The sequence below is a fragment of the Homo sapiens genome, chromosome 2, assembly GCF_000001405.40.
Source record: "Homo sapiens chromosome 2, GRCh38.p14 Primary Assembly".
Lineage (NCBI taxonomy): Eukaryota > Metazoa > Chordata > Mammalia > Primates > Hominidae > Homo > Homo sapiens.
The window spans coordinates 104,932,157-104,953,191 of record NC_000002.12 but is presented as its reverse complement, the minus strand read 5'-3'; the positions used below and the strand labels follow the sequence as shown (position 1 = coordinate 104,953,191).

The window sequence follows — 21,035 nt, the reverse complement described above, 5'->3', positions numbered from 1 at the left end:
GTAGCTCATTGTGGTTTTACTTTGCATTTCCTTTATGACTAATGATGTGATCATCTTTTTATGTACTTATTTTCCATTTGCATATCTTCTTCAGCAAATGTCTATCCAAATCTTCCACCACCCCTCTCTTTTTGTTCTATTATTGATTTGAAAGAGCGCTTATATTTGAATTATAAGGGTTAGTTATATATTCTGGATACGAATTGTTGGTCAGACATATGTTTTGCAAATATTTTCTCCTGACCAATGGCTGACCTTTTCATTTTCTTGTGTCTTTTGAAAAGGAACATTTTTAATTTTGATGAAATACAATTTATCAATTTTTTCTATTATGGATCATGCTTCAGTGATATATTTTCTTGTGTTTTTCTTCTAGAAAGTTATAGTTTATGTTCTTTTGCTTTTTGTTTTTGTTTTTGTTTTTTGTTTTTTGGTTTTTTTTTTTTTGGTTCTTTTTTTTTGAGACAGAGTCTCACCCTGTCGCACCCAGGCTGGAGTACAGTGGCGCGATCTCGGCTCACTGCAACCTCCACCTCCTGGATTCAAGTGATTCTCCTGCCTCAGTTTCCCGAGTACCTGGGATTACAGGCATGCACCACACATCAGGCTACGTTTTGTATTTTTAGTAGAGTTAGGGTTTCACCATATTGGCCAGGCTGGTCTCAAACTTCCAACCTGAGGTGATCTGCCTGCCTCAGGCTCCCAAAGTGCTGGGATTACAGGTGTGAACCACTGTGCTCAGCCGTTTTTGTTCTTATATTTAGGTCTATGTTCCATCTCATGTTTATTTTTATGCATGTGAGGTAAGGATCGAGGTTTATTGGAGGTTTTTTTTTTTTGCATGCCGATATTCTATAATTTCTGCCATTGAATCACACTGACACTTTCATTGAAAATTAGTTGATCACATTTGTATGAGTTTATTTCTGGACTCTTTATTTTGTTCCACTGACCTATATGTCCATCATTACACCAGTATCACAGTCTTGATTATTGCATCTTTATAACAAATATGGAAATCAGTTAGTGTAAGTCACCCAATTTTGTTCTTCTTCAAAATTGTTTTGTCTATTTTAAGTTAGGAGTTGCTGCCTGTTTTTGTAAATAAAATTTTATTGACACATTAAAAAAATTAAAAATAGAATTACCATATGATCCAGAAATCCCACTTCTGAGTATGTGCCTAAAAGAATCGAAGGGAGGAGGAACACAAAGACATATTTGCACACCCGTGTTTATTGCAGCATTATTCATAATAGCTGAAAGGTGGAAGCACCCTAAATGTCCATACACAGATGAATGGATAAAGAAATGATGGTGTGTGTGTGTGTGTGTGTGTGTGTGTGTGTGTGATATTCCATGCAATGGGATGTTACTGAGCCTTTGAAAAGAAGGAAATTCTGTCACATGCTACATGGATGAACCTTGAAGACACTGGCTTAGTGAAATAAGCCAGACACAAAAAGGCAAATCCTTCAAGATTCTACTGATATGAGTGTTTCTCAAAGACTCAAATTCATAAACAGAGAGTGGAATGCGACTGCAGGGCTAAGGGGAGGAGGCGGGGTGGGAGGGGTGTTGTTCATGGGTGTAGACACAAGATGGAGGGTTCTGCGATCTGTTGCACAGCAGTGTGCATGTGGTTGACAATATTGTCCTGTACACTTGAAAATCACTGCTAGGCTACATTTTATGTTACATGTGGTTTTGTCACAATTAAAAGATAATAATCCAGTGCAGGTTGGGGGGCTGATGAGTGAGTGGGGTGCAGATGTCTGGCCTTACATGGATAATCAATCACTGAAGCTGAGAGATGGGTACATGGGGACTCATCCTATACCTCTTTCTACTTTTGTATATATTTTATATTTCCATAATAAAAGTAGTTTTTTGAAAAAGAAAAGAAATATTCTTCTTTCTTGTTAATTTTTAATTTTTAATAGCATTTATAGGTCTGAGTTTATGAGTTGACCGATTTGCGAAGGGTGCAGCCTTTGCTGCTATTAATAGTTCTTTCTGCTAACAGGCAACGGCTGTGTTCTCTTAAAAATGGTTTAGCCCCAAACCTAAAGTAATGGAGGAGTAAGGAGGTCATAGAAAAGTCCAGGGTAGTGCTGGGAAGTTCAGATCATATCAGTCTCCCGACACAGCCCATGACTTGTCTTCCTACCCACAGCCCAACCTCAGCTCCAATACCAGATGGAAATTGACCATCAGACCTGAGCTTTCAAAGTCACCCATCTATTGAGAATTAGCCAGTGCATAATATAAAAATTTCCTTTTACAGTTTGTTCTGAAACATGTTTTTCCATTCACTTCCTCTCCTCAGAAGTTGAAGATAACTCCTATAAGATAAATTGTACCTTTTGCCAACAATTGTATCACATGCTAATATGCGAGATGGTTTTTTAACAATTTGATCACAGTAAGACCTGGAAAATCAACTATTCATTTGTATCTTTGGAAACAGGAAAGCAGAACTGAGATAAGAACCTAGGCTTCTCTGTGAATTAAATGAAAAAAACAAACAAAATCAAAATGCCAAACTGTAACCTTGCTTATTGTTATAGCATTATATCTATCACAAGGGATAATGTAATCTTCCACATCCAGAGTCCCACATATGTTCCAGCCTTAGTCCCACCAGACTAAGTGGGTTATAGTTTTTCTTTCTGGAATAGAGACTATGGTATGATTTTTTTTCCCTGAGTGCATCAGTTTTGCTCTGTTCTCTTTTCCACCCCACCTGGCCACCTGTCTTCCCCACATGGAGTGATCCGTCAGAAAGTTTTGGTAGAAAACCTTTGTAAATCTAGAGGGCAAGGATGTTCAGACACAGGAAGCACAGGAGTGAAAGGAGTCAAAAGTGATGAAATCGACGAGGGTGCATCAGCAACGAGGGATTAAACGTCCAGTTTGTGTCTCTCCTGTTCCCTTTTCTTCCCTTCCTTCTTCCCTGGTGTCCAAAGGTCCCTCTTTGCGGGCCTTCCCCCAGTCTAGAATTTGAAATACCACAGTGTTCAGTGGGTCTAAAGATAAAATAACTCTTGGAATATTTTTTCCCTTAAACAGTTTGTGAGCCCTCCAATAGTTATCTAGTGAGTGTGTCTGGGGAAGTTTTGGGTCGCACGGATGAGCTAATGACAAGACACGCCCCACCGCTGGGTGGTTTTCACCAGTGTGCCGGTTTAACTTACTTTTCTTCTTAGTTACATATTGTGAAGTTTAAACTTATATTTGTCCATTTGGCTAGAGACAGAAGCACAAAGGACACTGGTGTAAAGTAGTTAATAAGGAGCATAAAAATGGTAACGTCTGCAAATTCCTCTTAAAGCTGTCTGCATTGATCTACACACAGCCATGTCACCAGTATTTCCAAATTCAGTGTGAAAAAGATTAAATGTATCCAGTGTGGCTTATTACTTATTGGGAATTTAAAATGTAAAACTATACTCTCAATGTGTTAGTTGCAAAGTTTTAACAAATATCAGTATGAACTTTCTCCCATATTTTGTCATTGAGAAACAAAAAAAGCAAAAGTTATAAAAATAAAGCTGCCGATGTTTTAAGGGCAACATGCAAGATTTCTCTATATCAAGGAATAAAAAGGTATTTTAGTATATTTGACATAGTAATGTGTAATTGTTGTTTGTTTTAACATACATTAAACAAAACTGAATGTAATGTTTTAACATTCATTCAGTCTCCAATGATGAGACAATATATCATTTTAAAGCAAATTGGTCTACAAAATATTCTTTTTTCTAATTTATGACTTTATTGGGAATAAAATGTGCTATGTCATTTATTTCTTGATGCAAATAAGGCATATTTTATAGACAATAATATTTAGAATTATTAAACATGAATTCTAAGACAACATTTTAGTAACATTGACATAAAATTTTTAAACAAAATTTTACCAAAAACAGTGGAATTACTTGAAACAATTACTAAGAAGATCTAGGGGATTATATTATTACTATTAAAAGAGTTTAGAATAAAAAAGAAAAAGGCAAGGACCATTGCTTGGTAAGATCCTCACAAAATGCCCACTCTGTGATGTACTGGTGCCACCCTTGGAGGTCTTTCTTTTAGTATGAAGATATCTGAGGACAGCTAGCACTCCACAGCCAGAAGCTACTGACTGCCAGCAAATTTACAGCTGCTCCCTGGAGCTGGCTTTCGGGACTTCTCAATGCTCCAGGAAGGGCTGAGCAGAAAGCCTGTTCTCCCCAGAGATTTCCAGCAAGGATGTGAAGTGCACACGGGGGCTCTGAGTCTCCTCTTGGCTGTGTGGGGAGCATGTTTTGTAACCTGATGAGCCCAGAGGTTGAGCAAGGCCAGCAGGTTGCAAAAGGAAATCAATAATGATGTTTTCTGTTGGTTAAAGATAATTACCAAAATGAGTAGGGTGACATCTCTCAAAATGAATACAGTGACAGTGAAAAAACTGGGGAGATCTGAATGAAGTCTGCAGTTTAGTTAATAGTACTGAATTGATTTTAATTTATACGTTTTGACAAATGTACCATAGCAGTGTAAGATGTTCACATTATGGGAAGGTGGGTGGGGGGTAAATGGGGATTCTCCGTATGGCCCTTGTGCAAGTCTAAAAGTATTTTAAAATAAAAAGTACATATATATTTAATATATATGTGCAAATACTTCTTTTACGAGGAGTGTTAGAGGATTTAGGCTGAGAGATTTTGATGCCACATGGAGGGAGTCTGCTTGCCGATCTCAAATACAGCGCCTGGCCTGATAAATACTTTGTGAGAAGGACCTTGAAGAATGCATCTCCCGTGCTGAGTGCACACAGTTCATTCTTTTGGAGCACTGTCCTGCCCTGCGGATCACTGCAAGTGCCCCGTGGCAGTCTGTTTGCACCTGGAGTTGCGGGGGCATCACCCTGCCCCATCTCTTTTATGTCCTAATAATGCTGCCTTTCTGACCATCCATTGAATCGGGTCCCTACTGCATTTCACACTTGGATTAACTCAGTCATGCAAATTGTGTCAAGCCTAAAAGAAATCAGGCTGTGGGCAAATAAGAAAGGCTAATAAAAATTGAAAATACGGCTCACAGCTGAGATGCTCCTTTAGGACGCTGCTGCTCTCACAGTCCTCAGGTTCCCGGGCTCTGGCAGAGTGGGAGTGGGGTGGGGGGTTGGCGGGGGGGTAATCAGGCTTGAGTTACAACATAAATGAAACCCACAGGGTCAATTAGATTCCCAAATGTGGATTCACCTCTTCACGTGGAATGAAATGGTTCCGACAAGATTAGCAGGACGCAATAAACAAAGCATTCCTTGAAATATATTTGTTTGTCCTCACCAAGCAAAGATTTCCAGTGGACTTTCAGTAGGTTTCCTAATATTCCTTCTTGCACTAACACATAGCGTTGTGGTGCCAAGCCTCTGCTCTGCTGGTTCCTCCACTTGGAAGCCCTCTGGTAAACATTTCTATCACACGTCCGGCTCTTTACTGTCTTCCGAGGTCCAGTTAAAACACAATCCCTTAATTCAGACAGCTTTCCTGACTGGTCTCAAGAGAAGCACTCTCTCCTGCTCTGAAACCTGTCCTGTTTTGCTGGTTTTTCATGTACGTCACCTAACATTTCCTGCCTCACATCAGACTCATTTGTGTACACTCAGCTCCTTGCTGCCTGGAATGTAGCCTCCCTCATGGAGAAGCCGTGCTCTCTGGGTATCTCCCGCAAGTTCTGGTGTCATGATTTATACACATCATTGTAGGTGCTCAGAAGTTATTTCTAGAAGGATTTCCTTGGAGTTTAGGTCATGGATGAAGAAAAGACCATAATGGGAGAGGCTCTTAGAGCTTCTAACTTCTATCTCAGACTGGCTCCATGCTCAGACGGTTTGGTCTCTGTTCTTCATTGGTAGGGAACATTAGGCCATTAGGCAAAGGAAGGGACCTGCTATGTGTGTTTTTCTTTCTTTCTTTCTTTCTTTCTTTCTTTCTTTCTTTCTTTCTTTCTTTCTTTCTTTCTTTCTTCTTTCTTTCTTTCTCTTTTTTTTTTTTTTTTTTTTGAGACAGGTCTGGCTCTGTCGCCAAGCTGGAGTGCCGTGGCGCGATCTCGGCTCACTGCAACCTCCTCCTCCTGGTTTGAAGCGATTCTCCTGCCTCAGCCTCCCGAGTAGCTGGGACTACAGGTGCATGCCACCATGCCCAGCTAATTTTTGTATTTTTGATAGAGATGGGGTTTCACCATGTTGGCCAGGATGGTCTTGATCTCTTGACCTCGTGATCCGCCTCGGCCTCCCAAAGTGCTGGGATTACAGGTGTGAGCTACTGCGCCTGGCCAACGGTGTGTGTTTCTAAACAAAAAACCAAATTTGAAAAGAAACAGGAATATGCAATGAAGGCCCGGACCCTGTTGGAAGCCCTCAGAGGCATGACTCCAGCTAATTCTTAGCTTCCAGGGGTGAACCCAAATGTGTAGCAGGTGCTTAGTTTGATTCCCCGCTTACTCCTGAATTCTCAATCCACTCAGCACTGGTCTCCCTTTAGGGGTTCCACCTACTTTACTTGAAAGCTATTGACCTAAGATTGCCTGCGCAGATAATTTCCTGTACCCACTAACATGGATTAAATTTTATTGAGTGCAGAAACGACATTTAAAACTTCACTGTATCATTCACAGCACGTAGCCCAGAATGGAGTCCAAAAGTATTAATTCAATCATTGCCCCAACCAGTGGGCCAAGCTGAGCCGATAGGACCCTTCTCCAACCTCTCCTTGTCCCTCCCACATAGTCCTGACAAGCGGATTGAGGCTATTGTGTGGAGGATCACAACCTAGAGCAAACAACGCTGTCTCTGATGATGGAGATGATGATAGTACTAATAGCAACCCCAAGAACAACATTTACAAGTGCTTCCACCTATGGGCCACGTACTGTGTTTAAGTTACTTATGTGCATTACCTCATTTAATCCTTAAGAAATCCTCTGAGGTGTGTGCTAAATGAGTGTCATGATGCACCTTTTACACACAAGAAACCTGAGGCTTTGGGAGATTCAGAAATGTGGATCTGAGAGCCCAAGCCCTGAGTCAGCAGGAAAACCCGCATTTCTCCTGGTCCTGTAGTCTTGATCAGCTGTGCTGGTGCAGCCAGCACAGAGTGGAGGCTTTGAAACATACATCGTCTCACAAAGGACCATTGTTTCCAACACAGGGATCAGAATAGCGCTGCTCCTGTCTTCTGGGTTGTTGTAAACAGTCTGGGTAGACCAGGGTCTTATCTCCATCTCCAGCTTAGGAGGCAGGAGACAATTTGATAGAAGCTGCACTTCAATGACCACAGGCACACACAAAGAGTCTGCACAGGTTCACCCAAAGATCTATCTCCAAAAGCTGAGCTTTTCCTAGAACAGCCATAATATCTGGCTTTATTCCACATTTGTCTTTACCTTACTGCTTCTCCTAAAGAAAGCCCTATGACAAAAATTGGCAATAAAATTATTAACCATAATCATTTTTGTCTTAAACCAACTCATTTATGTTTAATGACCACTAAAGTAGGTGAGTTAAAAATAACCTCGTATTCTATTTCTCCTTCTAGGTGATTGGCGTCTCTTTCCATTCAAAATTAGAGAAAATACCAAAGCTCAGCAGTGATCTTCCTTCTAGAGGCTTGTTGGAACTCCAAACACATACCCCTGACAGATACAACAGGGATTAATGAGCCATGACCAGAAGTTTGATTTTTCTGTCGAGTGCTCCCATCCGTCTTTAATAAACAGAAGAACAACATAAACTCCATTGCCTGCTTTCCACTGCTGAAACTGAGCTGGCTGTTCCTGGTACCATGTGTGTTGAGCTGAGTTATGATTCTAAATGACTCGACAAACGCTTTTACAAGCCCCTTTGGTCTGCTACTCTGGTGACTGGCTTTGCTCTCCAAGTTCCATTTCTTTGCCTCTGTTTAACGTGGGCAGCTCAGTGCTTTGCCAGTGGAAACCATCAAATGTAATATCACATTTACAACTAAATGACTTCAATTTAGTGTCACTGGTACACTATCTGTGGTGTAAAACTGCCAAAATACCCACTATTTTCCCTTTAAGCCATGCTGTGTGCTTTTTTGCAGAAGGCTGTCTCCTGCGAGGACCAGAAGTTGAGCCAAGGCACATGGAACTTACAATAGCAGATGGTAAGAACCAGGTATGATCGCGGAGCAACGCCTGATGTCATGCTTCCTCTATTCTGCTGAAGCTGTATTTTGTGTCCGGAAAATATCTGTCCTTGACAAAAATAATTGCTCCATCCACGTTCACTGAAAAACTGTGTTGCTCAAAAAAAAAGAGGTTTATATTGCAAAAATTATTAAGAACAAGAGTGTATTTCTTTTCTCTTTTCTTTTCTTTTATCTTCTTGTTCTTGCAAAATAAACTAGGATTCATGTGGGACATTTATTTCTTTATTCCCTGAGATTGTTGCTGAAAAGACTGGCTGCCTTAAACCAAGCTGACCACAGGATGTCCCCAGTGTTCCATGAAAATTCCACTGAAAGGGCATTTACCTGGTAATGCAAAACTTGGTTCTTAAAGAAGAAAGGTCAGAGCACATAGATGTGGTCACATCTACAATTTCAAACAAAATCTGGTTTTGCAGAGGCAGCCTCAGTGTCATCAGGTAAAAATCAAAGCAGATCTGACTGGCGGTTGTCCTTGAAGAAAAGTGTGCCACCTACAAGTAAAGCCACTAAACTTAGCAGCCCAGAGCTGCTATTTAATTGCCCCTGAAGAGAAGTCACCCTGAGGTGGAGTTAATAACCAATACTAGACCTTTTTTTTCCTTTCACTTTAATTTTCTTTGAAAGCTTCATGCTCAAGCGACGTGGTGACCAATATCTAATGAAAATATGCTTCTCAAATACCTTCCTTGGGCTGACATATTTAGCAAATCCCAAAATGAGAGTCTGAAGAAGCCCAAAAGAGAAAATATTTGAAAGGATCATGAATATGCATCTAAACTTATTGAGTTAACACATTTTAAAATAGAAATTAGTTAAATATTTAACTCAATCTGCTCTGGCACAAGGGCAGGGGTGACATAGCCATGGTGCGAAAAAGCAGCTATGGACTAGCTATTTAACAGAAGATTCCCAGGGAAGGCAGTGGGAAAGGGCGAATCTGTCTGTCACTGAGCTCATGGAGGCACGGTGTGGAACTGCGTGTGTGAAACATTTCCTTCTGTCTTTTCATGGATTGATAGGTCACAGAGTTCAGTGCTAGGTCAAGTCACCCAAGGACCAAGGCAACTCGTCAGCCTCCTCTCTGGCCTGGATGATCCCAGGTTCAAGCAGATTTCTGTTGGTTTATGTTATCCAAGCTTCGTGAGTTGAGTCAACAAATGTATTACACTGATCAATTCCACTGGTGTTATAATAGCCCTCACCTCTGCTTGATTTTAACTTGTCTACAGACTGTGAGTGTCTATTCTGTACTGGGGAACAGTCACAGAGCATGCAGCTTCATCTCAGTGAAAGTATTCAAGGGTCTGGATAGAGCCTGTTTCCCCATTTGTTTTTCTTTTTAAATTAATTCCATTTTATGTATAATTGACATAATAAGTGAACATATTTATGGGATACAGTGTGATGTTTCAATGCATGTATATACATTGTATAAATGACTAAGTCAGGGTAATTACCATATTCATCACTTTAAACATTTATCATTTTTTTTTTGTAGCGATAACATTCAAAATGTTCTCTTCTAGCCATCTTGAAATACACAGAACATTGCTATCTGCTATAGTCACCATACTATGTAATAGAACACTGGAATTTATTCTTCCTTCCTAACTACAACTCTGTATCTATTGATCAACCTCTTTTGTTTCCCCTTACCCCTCCCCTCTCCAGGCTCTGATAACCACTATTCTACTCTCTATTTCTATTAAGGCATCTTTTTAAGATTCCACTTATGACTGAGATCGTGCAATATTTGTCTTTCTGTGCCTGGCTTATTTCACTTAATAATGTCCTCCAGGTTGATCCCTTTCATTTATATACCCATGTATACAAATCTGAACTTCTGTTATTTTAAAACTCTTGATGGAAGCCGTACTTCTACTGATGTGGAGGCTGTTATAAGCTGAATTGTATTTCACCAAATTCCCTTGTTGAAGTCCTAAACCCCAGTACTTCAGAATGTGATGATATTTGGGGATACAGTCTTTAACAAGCTAAGGTTAAAGCTTGTCATCCGGGTGGGCCCTAATCCAATGTGACTGTTGTCCTCATAAAAAGAGATTAGGGCACAGACATGCACAGAGGGAAGACCATGTGAGGACATAGGGAGAAGGTGGCATCTACAAGCCAAGGAGAGGGGCCTCAGAGGAAATCAACCCTGCCCACACCTTGATCTCTGACTCGGAGCCTCCAGAATTGTGAGGAAATAAATCTCTGTTGTTTAAGCCACTCAGCCTGTGGCACTTTGTCATGGCAGCCCTAGCAAATGCATATAGAGGCAAAAAATTTCAGTATGGTAATACTAGTTATGTATTATTAGTCACTAGCTCTTTGGTTAAACATAGCTCTCCTAGGCCAGGCGCGGTGGCTCACACCTGTAATCCCAACACTTTGGGAGGCTGAGGTGGGAGGATTACCTCAGGTCAGGAGTTCAAGACCATCTCTACTAAAAATACAAAAATTAGCCAGGTGTGGTGGTGCATGCCTGTAATCCCAGCTACTCAGGAGGCTGGGGCAGGAGAATTGCTTGAGCCTAGGAGACAGAGGTTGTAGTGAGCCACGATCATGCCACTGCACTCTAGCCTGGCCAACAGAGTGAGACTCTGTCTCAAAAAACAAAAACAAAAACAAAAACAAAACATAACAAAAAACATAGCTCTCCTAACTCAATAATAATGGCTGACATCAACTTACAACTTGGTAAATTCCGTGTATTCTACCAAGAGATTTACATATATTAATTCAGATAATCATCAAAGCAACCTTCTGACGTTGAAATCCCCATTTTTCAGATGAGAAAACTGAGGTGAGGACCCCTGTCCCATCAGCCTATAAGGCCCACACTTGACAACTAGCACAAAATATTTCAAACCATGAGGAGGGAGGATCACAAAAAGGTAGAAAAAAAAGTTGTGCCATTTTCTTCATATTCCTGTTTTATCTGCTAACTTCTGACACAGTATTTTTGCCTCTTGTGGGTAAATCTTGAATAGAATACACTTGCCCTACACATACGCTGATTACCCAAGAGTTAAGCTTGATTTCCACTCTTTCATCATGGGGCCACACCTTTTCCCTTTTTTAGGGCTCATGTATATCCATGGGTATATTCCAAATTATTTAATCTAATCTTCCAAATTACCTACTACCTACTAGCGCCAATTCCCCGTGGATTGTATGAAAAAGGCCAGGCTGGACAGGAGTGAGCAGGACACGGCGAGCATTGAGTGAGTGAGGCCAGTGACTGGGCATAACCCAGTTGGTGAATCCATGATTCACATGGAATCAGAGATCTGTGGAGCTGGGCAGGCCTTATAAATCTTCTGGTTCATTTAATTCATGGTTCTATTTCAGCACTTATCATAGTCTGGATCGATTTAGAGTGGGCTGTGTGTGTGTGAGTCTTCCTTTCCCAACCCTGAAAAGGGGTTCCCTGCAGACACAGTGCAGGGAGAGAAGCACTGAGAACTCCTCCTTTAGCAGCGGTACACACTGACACCCAGGGGTGTGTTCTTGGGTTTGTAACTTGCCAGGATGTACAGCTAGTGCTGGACCAGCCCAGAGGCTGGCTTGGTTCATAGTCCAACGGTGTTTCCATGACAACGCACTGCCTCCTAGAAATACCCAAATTTATTATTTTAAAAAGATACGCTGATAGATAATTATTCTCATCACAAAGGAAGATGTTACTGTGAGGAAGGATTCACTGTCTGGGACTATGAGCTTTGTAAGAAAACAGGGGCATGAGCTTGAAACCAAACTTGAAATTGAAAAATAAAAAGCAGCAGCTAGACATTCACTACCTCAAAAATAGAGAAAAACATATTGACCTTCTGGTTTTGAAATTGTTTAATAACTGGAAACTAGTTTCAAACTTGAATTTGGCATAGTTTTAAGAACTCAGTCAAGAGGAATACAAAATCCTATTTTTAAAATACAGCTGTTACAGTTTTAAGGCAACACCATCAATCTGCAGTGGAGGGAAACATACAAAGTAAATGTACTTTAAATGTTTTATAACTAATGTATGTATGAAGTAAAATATAAAGAAAATTCATATAGTTTTAACAATTGCAGAGTAATAAAAACATCCATTTTTAAGGATTACGGAAAATATTCAGGTCATTATTTGTCCAACTCAACCAGTTAATTATGTGAATGTCGATTTCAAAATACCCAACTGGAATCTCAGGGGATATGTGTGAGTGTTCTATCCCATGACTCTTTATAATAATAAAAATAAGCAAAAAGTAAATACAATTTGGGTTAAATAGCTTTCCTCTTTCCCTTGGCCACTCGGGCCTTCGTTTTGTTTAATTAATCTGTTCATTTCTGGTGAGACCATCTCTTGGCAATGCTTTGGGATACTTAGGTTTCCTGGAGTACAGAAGAATAGTCCATGTGGTTTCATATTGAATTGTGAGGTTGGAGGTGGGCCTGCTGCAGTCGTTCTGGACACATTCCCCCTCCTATCTTGTGTGCGATACGAGATTTGATAAGCTTTTAAGCAGCTTCTGCCTGTTTTCAGCATCTGCAGTGCATCACCTTTCTGGCTGGACTCACCAGCTTAGAGAAAGCAAACGACTTAGAAAAACCACAAAGCACAGTGCAGGTGCCCCACTGGATGCGGGGACACATTTTTGCAGTTATCTGCTGCTATGTTGGGTGTTAACTTCTGTAACTGAATATTTAAGCCTGGGAACTTGCTTGTTTTTCGCCCTCACATCGGGCATTCTCCGGCCCTTCCCCTGGAGGGTGAATTGTGCGGGTGGGGTGGGGTGGAGGGAGAGGAGCGCGAAAGCAAGGATGACTGCCCACCTTGGATGCCTTTTCCAGCACGATGCTCTGACTAATGAGCAGAGGCCACTGCTGAAGAGCAAGGCTGGGTCTCCTTTTCCAGAGACTGAGCCCATTACCCTCTCGGCCCCACTAGCCTGCAGGCACCAGCCTGCCTCCCAAATGGATGACTTCCGGCTCGCCATGCCGCTCCCAGTCCTAGTGCCAGTGGCCGTGAATAACCTTGCTTTTGTGTGTATTTATTTTATTTTGAATTTCTCCACCCTGGATCTTTCCACCTCCAAACCCCACCCCCTGCTTGCCGGCCCCATGTGGTGATGTTTCTTGAAATGTTAGATTCTTTCTTCCTCTATCCCCCCCTCCAGTTCTGGAAGCATTTTGTTTCTGTACTGCTTTGTGAAACTGGTGCTGAGTCCAGATCCTTGGGGCTTTAAAGTTGAATTAATTATTAAACAGGAAGGGAGCAGTACTTTCAGCAGGCGCCAAGTGACTATACTTAAACTGCAACCTGGCACTGGTTTTCCCACCCTTGTGCTGTGGTTTGCTGAAGGCAACTGGAGATTTTTATTCTAGTTTTAATCAAGCATTTCTGTAAGTTTTCAGGCAGTTAAGATTTGGCAGCAAAGGGCTGGGAAGTCAGTCTTCATCACCTCCTGACCAGTTTGGCCAAAGAAAAAATTAAAACAAAATCAGAAATACTTTCCCAGTTCATAAATCAATCTGAAATTGCCCACTCTCTACGGGTTGCTTTTCCTGAGGACAGGGTGGGCTTTTCTCTCAAATATATGTATATTTTTTATTGATCAGCTTCCATTTGTAGAGAATGGTGCTTTTCAAATAAAACCATCAGAACACTGGCTTTAGTTGCTGTGCGATTGTTATAATCATTGCTTTAATTTAGGGGCTATGTTGAAGATATGAAACCCTGTATTTAAAAATATACTCAGGGAGGGTGGGTGCAGTGGCTCATGCCTGTAGCCCCAGCACTTTTGGAGGCCAAGGCAGGAGGACCGCTTGGGACCAGGCGTTTGAGTCCAGCCTAGCCAACGTAATGAGATCCCTATCTCTAAAATAATGAAAAATCAGCCAGGCACGGTGGTACACCTGTAGTCCTAGCTACTCAGGAGGCTGAGGCGGGAGAATCACCTGAGCCCAGGAGTTTGAGGCTGCAGTGAGCTAGGATATTGCCACAGGACTCCAGCTGGGGCAACAGAACAAGGCACTGTCTCTAAAAATAATAACAGTAGTAATAAAGTAAAAATAAAAATACATATGAAGACACACAGCAGAATTTCTTACTTTTCTGAGGCTAGGCATTCATGCTAGAAATTCGCAACTCAATGGAGTTGGTGGGTCAGCTTAGCCCAGATACTGAATATAGGCATCCTCACAGAGCTATATGAATGAGACAGTGGCCATGTTTTAGAGAAACCCAAAGCCTTCCTAAAGGTATCAAACTAATACCCTTAAATGACAGCAAGACGCTTTCTGGAGGCTGCCCCTGCAGCGGGCTGGCCCTCTGATTTTCCCCTGGCTCCTGGTGTTTGGTGGTGGGCCTTTCCCAGTCTTGGCTGACTGCTCTGCAGGAAGCTCGCTAGGAAATGCTCTGCTCAGCTCCATTAAGTCTCACCCTGTAGCTGAGCAGCGGTGCAGGCTGTCAGGGTGGGGAGGGAGGAAGAGCTATCTGGGTGCAGCTGGGTGCGTAGGCAGGAGTGTGAAGCAGCCTCAAGAGGAAAGAGAACAAAGATTTGGTTAAAAATTTAGATTCATGCATATAAATTTGGAACAGGGCAAAAAAAAGTAAGCCCAACGCACACAACCCTCCCGCACCCCTCCCAGTTGGCTTGTGATGAAGTGTGCATGTGAGAACAGCTCAGAACCGAAACACCGTACAGTCATGTCACCCCTAAGAATGTGCTGGGAAACCTTGCAACAGATACATCCTTAGAACTTTTAAAAATGAGAGATATTCTGTGAGCCTTCAGTCCAAATACTATTTTTTGGACTTATTTTCCATTCAGGAATTTAAAAAAATATATTCTTGCTGACAATTCTTAACTTTAAAAAATATTAAACATTTTAATCATACATATAATATATGTCTTCACTGTGTAATTTCCATCAGTCAATAGATTTAATTATAATAAACAAATAAATGTACTTACAATAAGCAAAAAACTGTGGTCCACTGGCTTATTGAAAAAGATTAGTTAGAAGAAACCAGATAAATTCACACTTCTAGGAATTTAAGCTCAAAATTTCAAGCACCTCTATTTTTTTCTGAATTGTCACCTTTTCCAGGGACTGATCCTTTCTCAATAAATCATCCTCTGACCTTGGTGTTGAGATTGTCATGGGGCTTCCACTCTCAGGATGTCAAGTTTGGTCATATTCTTTAGGATTCTATTATGGCCACATTGCACTTCTAACCACAGTAAATAATTTAAAACCCAAATTGAAAATGATATATTCCTCATCAACTAATATTTGGAAAATATACTTATTAAATGCACAACTTTTGTACAATTTCTATCTGCTCTTTATGTCCCACTTTCTTTCCAGAAAACATATTCTGCACTGGTTTTAAAATCACATGATAAGATTTCTAATCTTTGAGCAAAAGTCCTCGCCCTTTATATTTGGAAATGGGTTGATACTCTCATCCCTCACCCATGGAAAGTTTGCAATATAAAATTTTAAAAAATACTTTATTTAAAATAACCTTCCAGCAGCTGGCCTAGTCTTCTATGTTTAGATATTAGAAAACACTTGAAAAGCACTTTCACTTAGTTAAAAAGGAAAACTAGTCAAAGATAATAATAACAACCTTTTAAACAAGAAAAGAATACGGAGAACACCAAACAGGCATGCATTGGGTTGTAAAAGCCTTTTTTTTCTCCCCTAGTTAAGGATAACTCTAAAAATATTGTGTATACCCACCTATGGTTTCCTGAGGACTTTCCTCCCTGTCTGCTAAAAAGCAAAAGTTAGGAAATTATGTCTGATTTGTGTCAAATGTGTTCCAAAGAATCATGAGGCCTTCCTTTCACTGTGAGGAATATTCATGTAGGAAGTCGTCCTCTAAGCAGTTGTCACCTTTTCTTACATGGTATTCCCAACTGCAATGCCAGGCAGTGAGGGCTTTGCCGCAGTAGGAGCGGCTCCAGTTCCTGGGTGAGCCCAGGGCCTGCCCAGACGTCGGCCATCTCTGCAGGTGTATGGGCTGCGGCCCTAGGCAAGACTGTCTCTGCCTTCCCCAAAGGTCTCTGAGCCCTTCTGCGGCCCAGATGGTTCCAATTTGAGGCCTACATTCAGTGCTGGAGCTGTATTGAGTTTCTTCCCTGAAACCAACAAAACCTGCTTCAGCATTTTGCTTGGATTAAAATATTTGTCCCTTTTTTTCACAGGGCAGAAGGAGAACTCCTGAAGCCTCCGAAGGAAGGAAATCATTACAGGGCCCTACAGAAGTAGGTCATGTGCTACAGCTGCTCATAGTTTAAGAGGAAGAAACATGGGATCTCAAACCTGGAACACGACTCTTTCAAAATGCTTGTGAGCAACCCAAGAAAAACATCCTCCTGAGGCTTATCTAATAACCATGATCTCTAATCGTCTCAATGTGTGCTCATGTTTCCTTAGGAGTTTGCACCCACTTCTCAGAGCTAACGAGATGCCGAAACAGAACACAGAAAAAAGTAATGAAGGAGATTTAATAGTTTGTGTTAAAGCTAATATGGTCCATTAGGGGCTGTCATTTTTATAAACAGTGAGGATACGTTACCCTCTTCTTTGGTGTAAAGTCATTCCGTGCAGGACCTGTAAACATTCAGTAATGATCTGTAGAACATGCATGAACGACAATTAAAGCACCACTTGAAAAGTCTGTTTTCCTCACATATTTGTTTTCTTGCTAAATAAACTTGTAAAGTTCATACATGTGTACGCATATGCTTACATTATAAAAAAAGTGTGCATTTCATTAAGAACATCTACGAACAGATATAAGTGTTTTTGGTTCCCATTAGCTTGAGAAATATCAGAAGTGATTAGTTAAATGAGGAGCATAGGTTCTGTTTTTTAGTGCATACTATAATAATAAAACAACCACTCTTTTATGGTAGCTTAGCAAGACAAAATTATAGTTCACAATGTCATGAAAGGCATGATTACAACCTTTGAAAGTTACAAGTAAAAAAGCTTCTATAAAACCTATCTGTTGCCAAAAAATTATGTTCTACAGTGATTCAGATATATTTCTGAAATTTATTTTTTAATTGTGGCTGATACCAAGCAGAGGCAAGACTTGAGAACTTGCATTCTTTTTGAGACTCACTGAATGTACTTGAGAAAATAAAATCAGATTGACTCCCTCTGACTTTGTAAATAGAGTTTGCTCCCTTGCTTTCTCTCTCTCTTTGAAAGGACAAATGATTCCTTTTTATAGGTTTTAGGTTTGGCAGAATTTGATTAAAAAAAAATTCTTACAACCACCTAACATTTTCTGCTGCAAACAGGAGTGGGTAGGTAGTAGGGGATAAAGAAAGGTCCAGATTAAAATTATTCTAGTTATTCACATAGACTTGAAAACTCCAGTGATGAGTTTTGAGAAGTAGCCTTAGGCAGAACTTGCTATCAAAGAAGGCCAGGAACAAAAGACATTTAAAAGCAGATTACGAGTCTCTCCTAACAAAGCAAAATCAAATCACTGATCAATAAGTGCAGCTGGGTTAAAATTGTTTCCTTAAAAAGGCTTTAAAAACTTTTTTGAGTGATAAGCTGGAGGCTGACCCTTTTATGCTTTTCAGCAAACTCCTCCTGGAAAAGTCTTTCCCATCTCTTCCAGGGCGGCCTCTTTTGGGATGAGTCTCTCTCTTCTCACTTAACACAAGCAGGCCTTTGGCTGGAAAAGGCTGGCAATGTGGTTTCCAAGAAAAGGAAAGATGCTCTTTGATCTAACTCAAGCCCTCTAAGAGAGTTTAGCTACTAGTCCCAACAGCATAGCTGGATTCCCCATGGTCATCTATGAACTATTTGTGCAATGCCCAAGCTGGAATTACCATTAATGGTGTAAAATCAACTTGAAACCTAAAGAAAATCTTCAACAAAGAAAAGCCCCACACTCCAGGTCACTTAAGCCACAAAAATGTGCTGGGTAGGTTGTGGCTCGCTGTCTAGATCAAGGCCATGTGGACGACGTTGAGGCGTACCTCCCATCGTCAGACGTTAACTCAGATGCCGGCTCTTTCAGTGACTGATTTCAAACAGGGCTTTTAAAAACAAGGGAAGAGGGAAAAAAAAGAAAATCAATGAGCAAGTGGTGTTCAATTTATTCACATATGTTCCAAATGGCACAGAGATAAGCAAAAAGGGTTCTGGTACATTTTTTAATGATTTCATTATCACTAGACAAGAATGGAAAGATCATCCAGATGCTATTGAAAAGATAGAAAAAGAAGATTTAAAAAAAATAAGAATAATATCTTGAATGGTTCCCTGCCCGGATACCTAAACAGTGAAGGCCGACCAATGAGATCTTTGAAGTTAGGTCTATTTGCAAGTCCATTTATTTAAAAAGGAAGGTTGAGATGATGTAGAAAAAAAAAAAGAAAACTTTTAGAAAAATTTGTTCTTGGCCTGGCTGTCCTTTTCTCTGTGTGAGCATCGTTTGCCTGGGGTGGATTGTCATTTGAGCCAGTGATTAAGCAGGGAGGGAGAGTGAAGCAAAGCTACAGTCCCCTTCGGTGGAGCAGGGGCTTGGCCAGTGCCCTTCCTGGGAAGCCTGTATCACACACAGCACACGTGGAGGATGAGGATTATTCCCATTGCAAGGGCTGCCGCTTGAGTCACAGATCTGCCCCTTTTCTTCTCTTGGCTGCTCCTTGTCCATCCATAATAGCGATCTTTGTGTGTCGAATTCTGCACTATTGCAAAGCGCCCTGGCCACTGGGTCTGAAGAAAGCTTTCTCCCTTTTCTGGAGGCTCTCTGAAAAGTGAGCACTCTCCATTGCTTATGTGGAAATGCTTGGCCACCTAAAAAGTGAGTTTATGGTCTCTTTTTAGTTTTATAAAATTATTATTATTTATTGTTAGCTTTTTTAGAGACAGGGTCTCACTCTGTTGCCCAGGTTGGATGCAGAGTGCAGCAGCCTCGAACACCTGGGTTCAAGCTGTCCCCCCGCCTTGGCCTCCCAAGTAGCTGGTACTGCAGCGGCATGCCACGCCCTGCTAAGGTTTATGATCTCTTTATGGGTGTATGTGTGTGTTATGTTTCTAAGTAGATTGTAAGCTTCCTGAAGGTGGGGGCCACAGTCTTCCTGATCAGGTCTATGACCTCCTAATTGTTCAGCAGAAGTTGGTCTGTTGCTGGGTGCATGATAATGAAACAGAATAGACCATGCCCAGGAATGTGCGTATAGGTGCAATTCTTAATCAAGGACGCAAAGCGTGTTTGGCATGACTCAAAGTAATGCCAAAAGTATTGCTCAAAGCAGCGTCTACCTATGGAATGATCAAAACAACGCCTCTTCAGAAAGACAGCATGCCTTTTACAGCACCACAGTTCCCCTTGAATTTTCTTCCCAAAATCCACTGAGAGTGTGGGGACTTGGATTCCTCCATCCCCCGATTCTCCTGATTCACTATCACACTGTCCCTGGACTTTATTAGGGTAAAACTTTCCAGTATCTGGAAAAGAAGTAAAACCCTCATTTCTCCGAAAGCACTGGAGTTGTGTATGCAGGATGGATCATTTTCATTTATGTTTGGTATGATCGTTATTTCAGCTGCTTCATGTCTGCCAGGCCTTACACATGTTGTTTGTTTCATGGCCAAAATAGTATGTGACCTATCTTGAAACCCCAAGAAAATTTCTCTAGCAACAGCCTTGTTTTCTGACATTGTAAATCATCTCTCCTTCCACACAATTTTGCATGGCCATCACAAAAATAAATGTGGATATCTGAATTTTGTAGTTGAAGACGTTAAGTGGGTACTTGTAAATTAGATTCTCCAAGTCCCAACAACATCTATTTATTGTTTTGCTTATCATTCTTTAACTTTTACCAAAGGGACCTCCTATTGCTTACAACAAAATAGCAACAAACACAATATCTAGAAGTGTGTTTAGTCCAGCTAAGGGCTGATCTAGGGCTGCCCGTGCAATCAAAACCTCTGCCTTAGCTCTCCGTGTGTCTTGAAAGGTAAAGCTTTCACCCGCTAACTCTCTCGGTTCACGAATATGTCGCTGGGGTTTTTTTTTTTTTCATATGGTAAAAATCATATTGGAAACAGGCAAATTAATCTCTTTAATTCAAAATCATTTACCTAGTACCCACTATGTGCAACACCAGTGACAGAAAAGCTACACATAAAAGCACATCAGTTGGAGATATGGTCGTGTTCAGCATCTTGTTCATGTAAATAATTGGAAACACAGTCAGTTCGTCCCACTCCCATAACTGAGGTGCTGTTTCCCTTAATGGTTCCCTACGTGTTCAAAGACAGATCATCCCTGGATTACTGCAGTTTTAGACAACACACTAACATTCACTAATAGGGGAATGGAAATTAAAAATGTAAATAAGTGCTTGGGTTCCCCACCCCCAAATAGGTCAGATAACTGCTTATTTTCCTCTAAATTAATGTGCTTTGAGGTTCTGTAGGCAGAGGCTAAACACCTATTACGAATATTATCATATGTCTCGTTTTTACTAATCTTTGGTTTGGGTGACTGGATTTAAGTGATGTAAGCAAGAAGATACGGAAAGTGAGAGTAATCACAACGTGAAAATGCCAGTGAGACACCTAGTGCCCTATGGCCTGTTGGAACAATTTTGCCTGCTTTTACAAGTTTCTCCCTCCTCCATCCCTTCTCCTCCTGGAACTTCCTGCCTTGTTTTTCACTAGTTCAGACAGACACTGTGTCTTCTCACCAATCTCAGCTTCCTTTCACTCTAGATTTGTTCATTCTGGCCTGGGAACTTTACTTGTCATTTGGTCACCCCGGAGTCTCTTCCA

General features: G+C 41.0%; 1 long non-coding RNA gene across 1 annotated transcript in view; it reads left to right on the top strand.

The window, feature by feature from the left end:
* MRPS9-AS2 (MRPS9 antisense RNA 2) overlaps positions 1–16,951 on the top strand; it is a 102,256-nt gene extending 85,305 nt beyond the window's left edge. The window contains exons 2-3 of the long non-coding RNA NR_110603.1: positions 8,115–8,188; positions 16,427–16,951. This is a non-coding gene — a long non-coding RNA (MRPS9 antisense RNA 2). The remainder of the gene's footprint in view (positions 1–8,114; positions 8,189–16,426) is intronic.
* The last annotated feature ends 4,084 nt before the right edge of the window (positions 16,952–21,035 follow it).